General features: G+C 43.5%; 1 protein-coding gene across 7 annotated transcripts in view, besides 1 other annotated feature; it reads right to left on the reverse strand.

Moving 5' to 3' along the window:
- Window positions 8371–8627: a silencer, noted in NCBI's record as "fragment chr9:119185010-119185266 (GRCh37/hg19 assembly coordinates)". NCBI's record gives its function as "represses an EF-1alpha promoter that drives an FKBP-Casp9 reporter gene in an ReSE screen in HepG2 liver carcinoma cells {active_cell/tissue: HepG2}" and the evidence as "EXISTENCE:reporter gene assay evidence [ECO:0000049][PMID:32094911]".
- Window positions 8752–16078, reverse strand: part of ASTN2 (astrotactin 2) — a 991946-nt gene continuing 984619 nt past the window's right edge. For 3 of the 7 annotated variants that reach the window (NM_014010.5, NM_001365069.1, NM_001365068.1), the window contains one exon: window positions 8752–11728. In NM_014010.5, coding sequence (NP_054729.3) covers window positions 11491–11728 — 238 coding nt within the window. In that variant the 3' untranslated portion in view covers window positions 8752–11490. The remainder of the gene's footprint in view (window positions 11729–16078) is intronic. The other 4 variants (NM_001184734.1, NM_198188.2, NM_198187.3 and 1 more) reach the window with 4 other exon arrangements.

A 16078-nucleotide genomic window follows, 5' to 3' on the forward strand; every position in this document is an offset into this window, starting at 1 on the left:
TGAGTTAGGGTTATAGAGTGCTTGACCAGTGCCTGGTACCTACTGAGTGCTTTATTAGTGTTGGCAATCATTATCATTGCCATTGTTATTGTTATCACCGCCCAAGCAAGGCCAAGTGACAGTTCTAGGAGCCTCATTGATAAAATGGGGACAACAGTATCTGTTCTGCCATGGGAATCCAATTAGAGACATCAGTGAGAGGACTTTGTAACCTGTGAAGTACTCTCCAGATGTGAAATGTGGTGATATCTCCCAGATGTGTGGGTGAAATCGTCACTGACACATCTGCAAGGAGCAAACATCTGGAGGCCTGGCATGCCATCATCTCAGCCTCTGCTGCCCTTCCCCCCTACTCTAGCTCCTTTCTCCACACACCTCTTTTCCCACCCAGGGGCAGCATGCCAGTTCCAAGGTTGCAGTGAGAAAAATAACATTCTTCTGTTCTCTGTCCAGTGTGGAAATTCCATCTCTTTGCAGTTTCCATCATGTCAGAGGTGCACTGAGGGTCCATTAAGGCTCCTTATGGGAAGGGAGGAGGGTGTAGAGAGAGAGGGAGGGAATGGGAATCCCTTTTACTGGGATTTTTACTAGTACCGCTAGATGAAATCTTTCCATCCAGTCACCAAAGCGATTATTGGGTCATGGCTACTGCTAGGAGGTGATTTTTTAAAAACAGGCTAACAGCAAAAGAATGCCTCATTGAATCAAAGTACATATCCATTGCAATTTTTTTTCCAACCATTTTTCCCCTTTGCTTTCCCAAATACAACAGTGTCTGGGTTAGTTCTCAAAGCAGTTTTGAATTTAAGGCTGAGACTGCTTTGTAGGGTGTCCCCAGAAGTAAGTCAACTGAGTTCAACACACATTTATTTTGCATCAACTTTTTTTCTGGGCACTATGCTTGGCAGTAGATGTCTGGAGGTGAATGGAGCATTGCACTGTAATTGTGGACTCCACAGACTCCGGGGGAGATAAGTCACAAAACACAGGGCTTTCCAACATGCTAAGTTAGGACTAACATAGAGGTAATCCGTGGTGCTTGGGAATTTCAGAGGAGAGGGCAGGTACCAAGACTTCATATTACCTGAACCCAGTACAGAACCAAGTATACATTAGGTCCTCCATAGGGATGTCATGAATAACTAAATGAGCTCCACCTCTGAGGGTTCAAGGAAGGCTTCCCAAAGAAAACTGTATTAGATCATGGTTGAATATATATGTCATGGTTCATAGGCTGCAAGAAGCAGCTACAGTTTGGCCCAAAGGAAAGTTACTACAAGTGTTTGAGAGGGCTTGGCTCATAGGTTTCAACCTGTGAGGGAAGGCTGGAGAAAGAGACTTGAAGAAGCCAGATCATTCCAGGGTCTTAGCAGCAAAAAGAGATAAAAAATATCACCCAGGCTCTACAGTTCAACACACTCAAGCTGTTCCTTTCTTGTATCACTCTACTCAAAATTCAGAGTGTTGGGAGTAAGAATCTAGTTGGCCACATGCAGGTCTTATGCCTAGGTAGCCTGCAGTGGAAGAATGTAACACTTTGATTTAAGTTCCACCAAGATCATACCCAGTGAAGCCAAGGTGGTTCTCTACTCCTTTCCTCCAAAAAGAATCAGGCATTGATCAGAAGAAATAACTGTTTCTGAGCAGCCAATAGAGAAATTGCTACTGTCCACTAAAGCAAGAGTTAGGCAGAAGGAAAAAAGCTGGCAAGAATATACATACCTATGGAAGCAGAATGGGATAAGGTATGGAGGTCCGAAAAAACAAGGGACAGGCAGGGAAATTGAAGCAGCTTAGGTATAGGGCATAAGACAAAAAGGTCTTATGAACAGGGTATGAATAGTGCAGAGCATGACAACGCTTAATCTCCATTCTGTACTGTGGTGTGAATGCAATAAGGCAGGAGGGTATGGAACCCAGTGCCACTGTTGCCTGTGTCATTGCTGCATGAAAATATTGTGTTATTTTAGCTCAGCATAACGAGAAGTTATATGACTGTGACATCCCCCTGATGTCAGGTGAATAGATTAAACAAGTCCAAATACTATTAACCCAATTACAGATGTGCTGAGTGGGATCTGAACTTGGCTTATCCCCAACTGGAAGTTTCACTTGGAAACTTAAAAGAAACAGGGGCAGAAAATTCTCATCCACACCCAGTGCACCATGTCCTCAGCCAACCACAGAAACCTCTGCTGCCCAATAGTCATCCTCTGTTCTGTTTTTGTTTGTTGACTTTGTTTTCAGTGCAACCCCTAACATCTTACGTAACAGAAAATAAGGTTGGGTGAGAAGCTCTTTCTCCTTAAATGTAGATTTAGGTTTTGTGGGAACTAATAGTGATGCCAATGGAATGAACAAGAGAAAAAAAAAAAGAAAAGAAAAAAGAAAAGGAAAAGCAGACCACAAACCTTTATGGAGCACTTACTGTGTGTCACATTCTATGCCAGGCCCTTTCTGATTTATTTATAGTGTCTTTCTTACAATGTCTGAGTGAGGTGGATACATCTGGTGATTCCTTTTTTTTTTTTTTCAGTGAACAAATGGAGCTCCAAGTCTGCTAAGTTTCCATGTTTGAGGAGGCTGAGAGTTGAAATCAATTTGTCTGACTCCAAAGATTAATATTTATTCTTCAGAATGTCTTCCTCCCTTAACAACTCCTTCTGAAGGTGTTTTGTTCCCCGTAACAAGGACCTGCATCTCATCTTGGTTGCCTGTCAACTTGTAACTCTAGTGATAGAAAGCTCATCATATTATCCTCCCCTCCCAAAAAAAGCAGCCCTTTATATGAACACTCCCTAAGCAAACCTCCTTTTGTCTTAACTCTATTCTCTTGACTCCAACAAAGGGGTGTATTCCTTCAGCTGCATACCTACTATTGCAACATCTGAAGATGGGGACTGGGCCTTGGTGTATTCTCCATGTAAATGGACAGACTCTGTGTGCTCTGGTTGGAAAGGCTCTTGGGAATCATCCATATTTGTGATTCCCAAATATGGCATGCATCAAAGACACCCTGGGAAAGTTGCAAAAACACAGAGTCCCAAGACGTAATTGGAATCTCAATGAGTGTGGCCCAGGAATCTGTATTTCTCCCCAAGCTCCCAGGTCATTTGGATGTTTGAACCCAGTTCCCCAAATTATATTGCATGGAAGATCAAGATCCAAAGAAGGAAAGAAATTTGCCTAGGGCTACACAGTCAATGAGTCATGCTTTTATTTTCTGAGAAAAAAGACCAGCCTTGATGATCTTTGCAGACAGCTCCTCTAAGACCTGCCTCTTGTTCTGCCCCAGAAAGGCTGTTCGTTGACTGTGGAGTTGAATAGCTTGCAAGAGAGTGAAGAAACTACGTCATCCTTGATCATAAAACCTAGTGAACTGCAGCAACCAGGCTGGTATTTGTGCTACAAAACTGCCTGGGGAGGCTAACCCAACTTGGCACTTGCCTTGATTTCTGAGAAGAGGTAAGGTTTTCCCCCTATTATTCTCTAACTGCCCAAAGGTCAGAAAAGCAGATGGGCCTGGGGTTACCACGGGGTCAGGAATGCACTGGACATAAAATAAAAAAACACTCTACTCTTGGTTCTGGCACCTTTATGATCTTGGATGGGTACTTTTTCATTTCTGACCCTCAGTCTCCATATTTATAACATGGGAGCATTGGCCTCTGGAGGAGTTATGAGAATGTTGCTGTAGAGTGACCATGTTTTAGGCGAGAACTGCATCCTAGTTTTCTCCTAATGGCATGACTCCAGGCAAATCACCTAAATTCCCTGAGCCTCAAGACTTGTTCTGTGAAATGGAAGTGTTGACAGCTACAATATGGTGTATGTATGACAAGTAAATGAGATACTCCAACCAACATGCTTAGCACAGACCCTGGCTATGGAAAGTGTTCAACAAAGGGCAATTGCTGCTCTGGTTGTTATTGAAATTTGTCCTTCTAATCTGAATCCCCAAGAGATCAGCCTCTCTGACCAAGGAGGAGAGTGCTAAGGCCTTACATTTGATTGGACTTTTCTAGTTCCTATACCCACCATCTCTTTAGTCCCTCAGTGGCTCCTTAGCAAATTCATGAATGAGCCTTTTGGTAGACTCCAAAGTGAGTTGGTCTGGGACTCAGAAGAAAGAAGCCCACAGTTTACTCAGGCTTGGAGATCCTGCATGAACACAAACCCATATCTCAGCCTCTATTTCCTCAACTACAAAGTGTTGATCAGGAGCCCCATTCCGGAAGACTTAAGTAAAAATGACTTTGGAACTGCATGGAGTAGTATGAGCACACATTTTTTGAGTATCTACTGTATGGTTTAACCTATGGGCCCTGGAGACATAAAACATAGCCCCATCCAGGAGCTCACATATATTAGGGGAAAACAAATATATAAAGGCACAATTAAAACCCAATGGGTTAAGTAGGAACATCACAGATATGTGGGGATTGTGAGAACTGAAAGGACGAACTCTTGTCCTGAATTTGGAGCTATGGTCAGAGCAACTTTCCTAGAATAAGTAACACTTCTCCTCCAGGAGTTTGCTCTGTAAACATCCTCCTCTTCCACAAATATATATAGTTGGTTACCCTCTTCTTTTCCAGTTGCAGTCCCGAGACATTGAAAAAACAATTAGTAAAGCTGAAGGATTCTTCAGTGAAGTTCTTGTCCAGCTAACCTCTTTATGAAGAGACACCGAGGGCAAGACTAGGGAGAAACTAGAGTCCAGCAGCCTGTTAGTGTCAGGACTGGGTCCAGAATCTGAATTCTGAATTACCATTTGGGGTGCTTGTGACTACCTAAACTGACAACCTCCCCAGTCTCCCTGTTTCACACACACACACACACACACACACACACACACAAACACACACACAGAGGCATACATGCCTCCCTGTCCAGCAGAGCACACCTGTGGCCCCTTGCCCTCCCCTGCTGCCAACTCTTGTAAAACAGGAAAACAGAACAGCTTGGCTTTGGCTATAACATGTACAAACACTTGGAGCAAAGTTTCCAAAGGGAGACAGACAGTGAACGCCTTTCAGGGTCTGGCAGTTTTATGGGCAGAGGCCAATTAAAAAGCATACCCCCACACAAAGCCCGTGGGTTTTGTTTGGCTGTGGACTTCTCTCCAGGCCCCTTGTAGGCTGCATTGACAGCGCAAATTGGAAGGACCACTGTTCCTGAGGGATCCTGGACATTCACAGTGCTGCTGGGGGATCTTCCTTCAGGATTTCCTCATTTGAGCCCTGACGCCCAATTTCAATGGGTTTTAGCTATGGGCTAGGTCCAGGGCAAGGCTCCAGGGTTCAGAAGGAATTCTAACCAGACCATGCCCTTGTGTTGCTCATAGTCCTTTGGGAAAGAATGGCATTGAGTGAGGAAAGGGCTAAAATGAAAGTAGGGAGTCCCCACTGTGAGACCTCAGAGAAGAGTTATCAGCTCCTCTGGGAGAAGGCAAAAGGCCTCAGGAAGCCAGTGGATGACATTTAGGGTGGATCTGCCCAAGCTGGAACTCCACTCCCACCAGAGGGAGAACACATGCAAGTGATGAGAGAGGATGAGCGAAAGGCATTTCTGAGACTTTTGTGTGTCTGAAGAGTAGGGAGTTGAGTATAAGAATTACAACAATTAACATCTGTAAACTGCATGTCACATGCCAAGTGCTGTTATAAGTATCTAATGTAAACTGACCCATTTAATCCTGAGAAAAACCTTATGGAGGACTATTTCCTTTAAGTAGCAGAGAGAAAAACCAAGGCATGAACAGGCTGTCACCTGCCCAGGGCTACCGAACCATCAGCAACCCATGGTTTGTGTGGTCAGGACAGGGACTGGGGTTGACTCTTGGGCAGTACAGTTGGCTGGGAATGTGGTATTGCAGAAGAAGCTGAGACTTAGGGAACTCCAGGTCTCCATGCTCTGCTGCAACCTGGCTGAGGCTGTGACCCTCTCTAGACTGGCCAGAGACAGTTATCCTGCTGTTGTCAATCTCAAAGGGAGGTAGTGAAGATAAAAGAGAGATTAAAAGTGCTCTTTGTACCTGAGTCATCATCTGATATAATGTTTCACATCCATGACACATAGATCTCCCCTAGTGTGGTGGGGGCACATGGATAACCCAGGGCCCACAGAGGGTGAACGGCTTGCTCAAGGTCACATAGCAGCTCTACTTCAGGAGCAAGACTAGACCAGAGGTCTCTACCTGAGGAGACAATAAAGCATAGTAGTTAAAATTCTGGAGTCCAGTGAGATCTGGATTGAAATTTGGTTCTGCCACATACTAGCTGCCTGAGACCAGAGAGTTTCTTAAATTCCTTTAGGTTCATTTCCCATATTTTTGAAAGAAATGATAATTTATAAAGTATATGAAATGATGTTTATGTAAAGAATATGTCTTATGGTAAGCAATCAATTAAATAATGATGGTGATGAGGATGAGGATAGTGATGATGAGGAGGAGAAGGAGGAAGAGGAGGGAGAGGAGGAGAAGGAGGGAATTCAGCACTATTTCTATAAGTCCAGTATTTTACACTTCCACAAAATTCTACACTACTTACGTAAGCCCCTTGCTATGGTTCCCACACCTGCATTTGAAAGTCATAGCACATTTGTGCATAATTACACTCAGGGCCATGAATGGTTTTCACATAAAGCTAAATTATATTCTTGGCTCTCTGCTGTCCCAATGACTGTTTCTGCATGATGCAAATCATGCCTCATCCATGCACACTGTCCGTTGAACCCATGTGATTCATCATTCACTTCATGCCCCATCTAGTTCTGCCCAGTCTAACACTCAGTCAGCAGTGGGGAAAGATAAAACCCAAGTCATCAGGCTTTGGTTAGCAAATCCTATTGAGTCAACTTCCTTGACACCTCTCAGATCCAGCTTCATCATTGCAATGGCCATAGCTCAAGCTTCCTCATCTTCCTCCTAAACAATACCTATAGTCTCCTATCTAGTCTTCTTCCCACTCTCTCCTCCCCACTCTCCTACTCTGCACCCAGGAGGGGCATTTGAAAATGCTTATCTGCCCATGTCACACCTCTGCTTTCAGTCCAGTGCCTTCCAATGGCCAATGTGGTCTGGCTCTGACAACTTCTCCAAACACATTCTCCATCTCCCTGACCACACCAGTTGCTCACTATCCCTCAAATATGGCACACTTTTTCATCAATATGCTAGTCTCTCTGTCCCTCATGCCCTTTTTCTACTACTGTACTTACTAAACTCTTATAAATCCTTTGACTATGAAGGCTTTCCTGATGATGACTTGCCTTCCAATGGCAGAGTCCATTGCACCCACCCTTTCTCATGTAAAGAAGTCATTATAGGCCTGGCACAGTGGCTCATGCCTATAATTCCAGCACTTTGGGAGGCCGAGGTGGGAGAATTGCCTGAGCTCAGGAGTTCAAGACAAGGCTGGGCAACATGAAGAAAAATTACACTACAAAAAATTACAAAAATTAGCTGGGTGTGGTGGTGCACGCCTGTAGTCTCAGCTACTTGGGGGACTAAGGTGGGAGGATTGCTTGAACCTGGGAGGTTGAGGCTGCAATGAGCTGTGTTAGTACCACTGCACTGCACTCTAGCTAGGGTGACAGAGTGAGACTCTATCTCTTAAAAAACAGTCATTATAATAACTATTTACTAAGAACTTTTGTTTTCAAGTACACGATGGCTTTATATACATCATCTAATTTAATCTTCCCAACAGTCTTGAAGTAGTATATTTATCCCTTTCACAGATGAGAAAAGTGAGGCTTAGAGAGGTTAAGTTAATGCCAGCTAACCTGAGCTTATTAGTTAGCAATGTCTGTTGAGTTTGCCTCCTAAATTTCTCTTAAAGGTTGGCCCTGCCTCACTGTAAATTGCACAGCCAATATTTAAACCCAGATTGGCTTGACTCCAGAGTGTCTGATTTTATCCTGCTGTATTTAGTTAGCTAAATTCTGGGAGTTCCTTAAGGGGAGGAGCTGGATCCTGTTCATGTTAGTACCCCAAACCTGGAAATCAGTACTCTGGTATTGGTTGGAAGTTAGACTTAGTTTTTGACTTAAGATGGAGAAGGGAGGCACTGCACTTAGTAGCCCTAGCAGGTAGTGTGCATACACAGTGCTCATCATTTGGAATTACTTTGTCTGCTCAAGTTTAGATCTCAGTATCTCAATACCATCACTTACTACCTACAGGATTTGGGGCAGGTTATTCAGTCTGCCTAAACCGGAGTTTCTTGAATTGTAAAATGATCGCCACAATAGCACATGACTGTTTTGCTCATGGTTAAATGAGATAAGTATGTAGAGCCATCGGTATGAGGATCCCTTAAATGGTAGTTACCAGCATTTGTCTGTAGTGCACACTTTATCACGAAGCCTGCTGAGAGAAGATAATTCTTGACCATCCAGAAGGATGAGGTCATTTAGGGGTGATTTCCTATGCACCCCTAACACACACATCTGTGTGTTCACAACTTCTCTATATGGTGGTGAAGACTACATGAGAAGTCTCATCCTTGCCAGCATATTGTGACATGAGCTTCCCTGGCAAGTTCCGTGGCAGTGCATGGATCAATCTGGTCATGCAGAGGCCAGGGCACCATACCCAATAGCTTCATTTACAGGTCAAGAATGTTTCTTTTTTTTAACGACACACTTCTCTTTGGGGGTCTTGTTATTGCATTAAATTCCACCATGGTGACCACTTCTCTTTAAGTTTTTGACACTAGTTACAATTCACATAGCTGACAGAGCTGAAAATCATTAATTCTTTCTTTTAATCAGAATTCTCTAGGTCTTTCCCAACCAGATTTTCCTGGATGTCTGCCCAAGACTCACAGTATTATGCATATTGTCTCCATCAGGAGAAAAAATAAAAAATAAAATAAAAACACTATACATTGCATTGGATGCATGTTAACTCCCTTATCATTCAAGCTGGGAAACAACCCCTTGAGGTGGGACCAGCATTGACTCCACTTTGTTGATGAGAAACCTGATGTCAAGTTACTCCCTTAAGGGCAATAGCTGGTGAATAGCAGTGTTGTCAGATTCAAACTTAATCAGGCTCAGATCACCACACCAGCACATTGAGTGCTGTAATTTTCTGCAACTGTTGAGCTAAATTGTTCCTCGGGTTGGGTCAAGACAATGGAAAGCAACAGCAACCTGATAGCTCTCTGAAAACTTGGGACCCAGGCCCAGCAAACTGATAGCTCTCTGAAGGCCCATGTATACCCAGGAAGTGGTATACATGAGAGGCATTTAGAAGCTCCACCTGTATACTTAGAGAAACATAAACCCAATAATAGTAAACTTCCTGAAAGAGTGCCTTAGAGCTTAGATTGTGAGAGGTTGAGAAGCTTCCCAGGCACCAAGGTTGGAAGAATCTCTTTCTGCTTTGTTTTCTTTTGTGTTACCCATTTTCCCCATATGGATTGAAGTCCTGGGGAAAAAAATGCGCTCAATATGTAGGTTATCAGGAAGGGGATTGTCAATCTCATCAACATTTGCCAAATTGAGAAGTAGGCATGGTTTTTTTCTTTTTTACTCACCACTACACAAATGAGGATAGGCATATTTTGAATGGCTTATGTTTTATTGATATTCAGTATCTTTTCCTCTTCTGAAACCCCACAGTGCTACACTCTCTTCTCTTAACAGGTGTCATCTTTGCATTATGATATACCTGACCTACATCCCATCTGCTCAAGCTAGGTAGCTTATTTGAGCTAATATGAGGGTGTTAAGAATTTATAACATCTCTTCATACTCATTACCCTCCCAGGGAAGGGTACACTGGAAGCAGTGCAATTACCATTTAAAAGGATATTTCAATGATACCTCAATAAAGCTGTTTTAAAAATAGATAAATAAAGGGAGATTCCAGTGTTGGTATGTCACCCCCTAAGCTATCATCACCTCCTTCATGGAAAATGACAATGGCACCCCTCTCTTTGGGGCCTTCTCCAATCCATCCTTCACCCTGTAGTGAGAATGATTTTCTTAAAGAGTAAGTTGACTATTTAGTCATATAAATAGTCATGGATGCTTCAAGGCAGCATCAAGCTTCTTGCCCAAAGCTTCCAATGCCTTGCCAAGCTCCCAGCCTCACCTTTTAACACTTCCTATTTTGATCCCTACTCTTAAGGAAAGTTTTCAGTCCTTGAAAGAGGTGTACTGTCTCTTGTCTCTGGGCTTTTGTTCATATCTCTTCTTCCTGGAGCAAATTCCATCTTTTTTTTTTTTTTTAAGTTGTCACCTAGGCTGGAGTCCAGTGGCTCCATGTCAGTTCACTGCAAACTCTGCCTCCCAGGTTCAAGCAATTCTCATGCCTCAGCCTCCCAAGTAGCTGGGATTGATTACAGGCACGTGCCACCATGCCCTGCTATTTTTTATTTTTTGTATTGTTAGTAGAGACGGGGTTTCACCACATTAGCCAGGCTGGTCTCAAACTCCTGGCCTCAAGTGATCCACCTGCCCTGGCCTCCCAAAGTGCTAGGATTACAGGCATGAGCCACTGTGCCTGGCAAGCAAATCCCATCTTTTTCACCTCTCTGTCTGGCTTATTTCTACTCATCCTTTGGGTTTAGGTATCACTTTTTCAAGGAAGCATTTCAGGAGCCCTCCAGTGTGTCTCATGCTCTAACAGTGAGTGCAAAGAACCTCCATTCTTCCTCTAGCACAGCTTGAAATGACCAGACTCCTTCTCTATAATTTCCACTGGGCAATAAGTTCCCTGAGGGAAGGAAGCTTCTCTGTCTTTAGTTGCATATGCTCTGTGACTGGCACAGGGTAGATACTCAATAAGTGAATAAACAGAGGTCTCTCAAGCACATTCCCTTGGTAAGAAATACCACCCAAGCAGAAAGAGAGACAATAGGAATTTTTAATGCATGGACAGGCCTGCAGGGACTCTGGGCAGACCCACAGGTAGCAGGAAGAGGCAGGGTCCCACAAACTCAATAATGTCCAGCAAAAAAGAGAGAGAAGTCCTTAAAGACCCATGCTTCCTCACTGCAACCATCCTCAGAGCTTCCTTCCTGGTGCTGAAGAGGTCAAAACTGTCTCCTCTAGGGGTCAGGTCAAAACTGTCCCTCCATAGGTCTCCTCCAGGGGTCCATGGCAGGAAGAAAGCAGAGTGTGGCAGGAAGAAGGAAGAAGAGCAAAGGCCGCTTGGTCTCCACCTGAAAACTTCTGCCTCGGGATTGACAGCCATCCATAAGAAAAGGTTTAAAAAGGAGAGACTTTTGATAGAGTCAAATAATATCTTTGAAAAAATAAAAGATAGAGAAAAATGAATAATTCCATTGGTTACAAAGGTCTCTGTCCACTATCCACAGGAGAAACCGTTTGCTTTGGCCTTGCTGGCAAGCTTCATCTGCTAGGCCCATCCTCAGCTGTCCCCCAGCCCACCCAGGCCCCAGGATCCAGGAGAATACTGCTCCCCCTCCCATGGAGAGTCTCTGTGCTCACGGAGGGCAATACCCTCCCTCACCGGCCCTTGGACTCCCCGTACGTGTTTCGGGCCATTGACACCATCTTCTCCTCACACGTGATTTTGGTGTCCTTGAGGATGCTATACCACACCATGCCTGCAGGCCGGACCTCCTCGCTGCGGCAGAAAAGATAGGGCACTGTTTCCACGCGGCTCTGGATGTAGGCACTCCGCAGGAGGCTGGAGCAGTGGCTACTCACCCTCTCCAGTCGCCGTAGAATCAGGTGGGCCTTCCTGAAAGGTAGGATGAGACAGCCATGATTAAAGAAGTCCAGATCAAGAGTTAGACCTTTGAGGTAGTAAATGTCAACAAACAAATGGTAACTTCTCCCAACCATTTCCTATCTACTCCAGATTGGAGTGTGGTACTTCAAACACTGATTCAAAAATTGCCCTAGAACCTATCTTCTTCAATTGTGCAATGTGTTAAAAAATGAAAAAGAGGTAGAGCCTTTAACCTAGTATTTTCACTTCTAGGATATGGGAGCCCTAGGAGTTCAAAGGTGACCAGCCTTGGACTCTGATCAAATAGGTATTATTATAATGATTAAAAAGCAACAAGAACAACCAAAAGTTATTGACACCATATGCTAGACACTGGGTATGCATTTTACATATATTTTACATTTTTTATTTAGCCTTTATAACTATCCTGAATGTATTGTCTACCCCCTTTTAATGGGTGAGGAGCTCAAGCAAGGCTCAGAATAATGACATTACTTGACTAAGGCAAACATCGAGTCAGCCACTGGAGTTGGGAAGAATCTAAATCTAGGCCTGACCACCCACAGTCCCTTTCTAACTGTCTGTGTTCTCACTTCATGAACTATTTCACACTCTTTTCTCTCAGTCTGGAAACTTTGAAATCTTGCCCTTTGTGATTCCCTTTCATCAAATATATATATATATATGTCCCCAAATCAGAACTTTTCTGTGTCTCATTTTTTCCCACCTTTAAAAAAGTGATGATGGTCTTATCCTCAAGTTAAGTAAGAGAAATGCCTAATGCCTGGTATAGAGCTCAGAGTAAGCTTCCAATAAATGATAGCTACTCTTATAAGGGATTGCTGGAATGCGCCCTCAGGATCAAGGTTATGCTGAAGACCAGCCTTACCAAGAATTATTCCGTACTATGGAGGACATCATTAAGAACTTATCTAGAGCCCTATATCCAGCACGAGAGAGGGGAGCTGGGAGAGATCTGATGGCTGCACAGATAAATAAAGCCAGGAAGGATTCTTGCAATCACCTAGTCCAGGGTTTTTCAAAGGTGGCATTATCGACATTCTGGGCTGTATATTTTTTTGTTGTGGGAACAATCCTATAGGACATTTAGCAGCATCCCAGGGCCCCACCTACCGCCAGTAGCACCCTTGCCCCGGTCGTGAAGTGTGAAAATTCTTTAGACATTGAAGAATTTTCAATAGCACTCTTGCCCCAGTGAAACTGTCTTTAGACATTGCCAAATATCTTCTGGGGGCAAAATCACCCAAGTTGAGAACCACTGACCTAGTCTGACCCACTTTCATTAAAAATGTGGAAACTGAGGCTTAGAGAAGGAATAGAATATCTTTATCCCAGGTCACATTACAAGTCAGCTTCAGTGTCAAGGTGTCTGTCTCCATGTGGAAACCACTTTTCTCTGCATTCCAGCATCTTCAAGATGCCAGGCACCCTGGGAGGCTACATGAGAGGTTCTCTCTCCTGCTGTCCTCTCCATGTCCCTCTGATACCACAGGAGGGAAGGAGTTTTACAACAACAGACCCCACAAATGGGAGACTGTGTTAGGCACCTGCATAGCAGCTGAAAAAGGACCGAGCTTATGTGTATACATTTTGTGGGCACAATTTATGAGGTGCCTTTCAAAAAGTCCTCTTTGTATAGTTCACCACTTGGGTGGAATATTTCCTGAGGTGCCAAGAATTCATCACTTCATAACCACACTCTATCCACAGTCCTCTTTCCCCTCGGGCAAGTGCCCCCCCCAAGAGGAGCCTGAGGAGTTTCTTTTCCATTCCTTCTCATTTGAGTTCTGGCTTCATTCTTTAATAATTCTGTGTCCTGGGGACATTTACTTAACATCTCTAAATCTGTTTCTTCATTTGAAAAATGAGGCTGTTGTGAAGTTGAAGGAGATAAAGTCATTTCTTGCTGATTTGTTGAGCATTTATTATGTGGCAGAACTTCTGGTAGAGAAGATGGACAAATGGAGATGACAATACGAATGACAAAAGCAATTATAAAAGAAGTCACGAGAGCTGTGTGAAGACAGAGGAAGGTACTTAAGTAGGATCAAGGATGTCCAAGTAGGCTTCCTATTATAGTAGTAGGGAAACATGTGTTGAGCCTCCTAAATGAATAGGAGTTAGATAAAGAAGAGGAAAAGGTGGCCGGGCACGGCGGCTCATGCCTGTAATCCCAGCACTTTAGGAGGCCAAGGCGGGTGGATCACAAAGTCAGAAGTTCGACAGCAGCCTGGCCAACATACTGAAACCCTGTCTTTACTAAAAATACAAAATTTAGCTGGGCGTGGTGGTGGGTACCTGTAACCCCAGCTACTCAGGAGGCTGAGGCAGGAGAATCATTTGAAACCGTAAGGCGGAGGTTACAGTGAACCAAGATCGCGCCACTGCACTCCAGCCTGGGCAACAAGAGCAAAACTCCACCTCAAAAAAAAAAAAAGTAAAGGTAAAAGCATAGAGACAAGAGATGCATAGATGTTCTGAGAATTTATGGCTACAATACAGTGTACTAGTGGGGACACAGTGAAAACTGGAAGGAGCCATAGCCAGCCTGTTGAAGCCTAGGAACTAGGGCAGTGGTTGTATGCAGTAATGATACAACCACAGGCTCCAGAACACCGACTACTCAGGTTCAAATCCCAGCTCAGCCACTCACTCTGTGTGATACTGAGTGAAGTGCTTTACCACTTGTCCCTCAGTTTTCTTACCTTACCCACAAAATGAAATAATAACTGTATCTACCATAAAGTGTTATTTTTTAAATAAAAAATTAACAGACACATAATAAACTGTCAATAAATGTTATCTATGATTATTGTCTTGAGAGTAAGTGGGAGAGTTATTGAAAGATTTCAAGAAGCAAAGTAACAGGTTTGGAGCTGAACTGTTTAAAAATATTTCTGGTTGTTTGAGGAGAACTGAGCGGAAGGAGGCAAAACACAGAATTAAACCAAGTGGAGGCCAGGAGCAGTGGCTCACACCTGTAATCCCAGAACTTTGGGAGGCTGAGATGGGCGGATCACCTGAGATCAGGAGTTTGAGACCAGCCTGGCCAACATGGTGAAACGCTGTGTCTACTAAAAATACAAAAATTAGCCAGGCCTTGTGGTGTATGCCTGTAATCCCAGCTACTCGGGAGGCTGAAGCTGGAGAATTGCTTGAACCCAGGAGGTGGAGGTTGCAGTGAGCCAAGATCGTGCCATTGCACTCCAGCCTGGGCAACAATAGCGAAACTCTATCTGAAAAAAAAAAAAAAAAAAAAAGTAACCAAGTGGAGTGCACACTCAGGTGTTAACTGTTTCCCACTGTTGTACTTACAGGTGTTGGTTTGATTTTTCTCTACACTGGTAAAAAGCTTCTTATTCTTGGTTTGCTCATCTATACAAAGGGAACAGCAGATGGCTCACCTCATAAAGTTATAGTGAGGGTTAAGTCAGTACACGTCAAACTCTTAGAAAATTACTTGGCACAAAGCAAGCACCTGATGCTTGCTAGAAAGTATCATCACCATTATCATTACTCCCACCACCATCACTCTCATTGTCATCATCATTATTACATCATTAGGTGTATTTTGTGTACTGGGCAATGGGACAGATATGAACTAGTTTAAGCCTTGGGTATCTTTATAACTCAGTGACAAGAGACAGGCAGACAGAAATATTAACATTCTCTAATTCGGGGGCAGAGCACTGGGTTGAGGAACACTACGTATGCTGTTCTGGGAATATAAAAGATGGACACCAGTCATCAGTTTGGAGACTCAGAGTAGTCTCTCAAGAGGACGCCACACCTGAGCTAGTTCTTCAATAATGAAACAGCATTTTCAGGTAGATGAGAAGGCAGAGGAAATAGCCCATCCCAAGTCAGACCGGAGAGAACATAAACTACTAGTTGTTTGAAATAACCAGTGCAAAGAATAGGGAGACCAGTGAGCTTGGCAGGGATCAGACCAGGCAGACTCTTCCAAGCCATGATGTAGTATTTGGATTTTATTCTGGGCAATGGAGAGACATTTTCTGATTAGATAGTCACAGAAGTAAGCGATAAATATAAATACAAAATGAAGTTGGAAAAGACAATTCTTCCAACATGCCCAAATGCCCTTCTTCCAAAGGAACAGACAAAGCCTCCTTTTGAATGGATTAGGAAAACATATTTGGAGTGAGAAAGTGATTTTGCCTTTAAGGAACACCTTGAGTAGTAACAAAGGCAAAGCTAGAACCAGGGTTCCTGATTCCAGGGTGAAGATGAAGTGTTGGCTCTAGAATCTCAGATTTAAATCCCAGCTCTATAACTTACAGCTATGTGGTTCATGAGCAAATTATTCAATGCCACTAA

Source organism: Homo sapiens, chromosome 9 (genome assembly GCF_000001405.40).
Source record: "Homo sapiens chromosome 9, GRCh38.p14 Primary Assembly".
Taxonomy (NCBI): domain Eukaryota; kingdom Metazoa; phylum Chordata; class Mammalia; order Primates; family Hominidae; genus Homo; species Homo sapiens.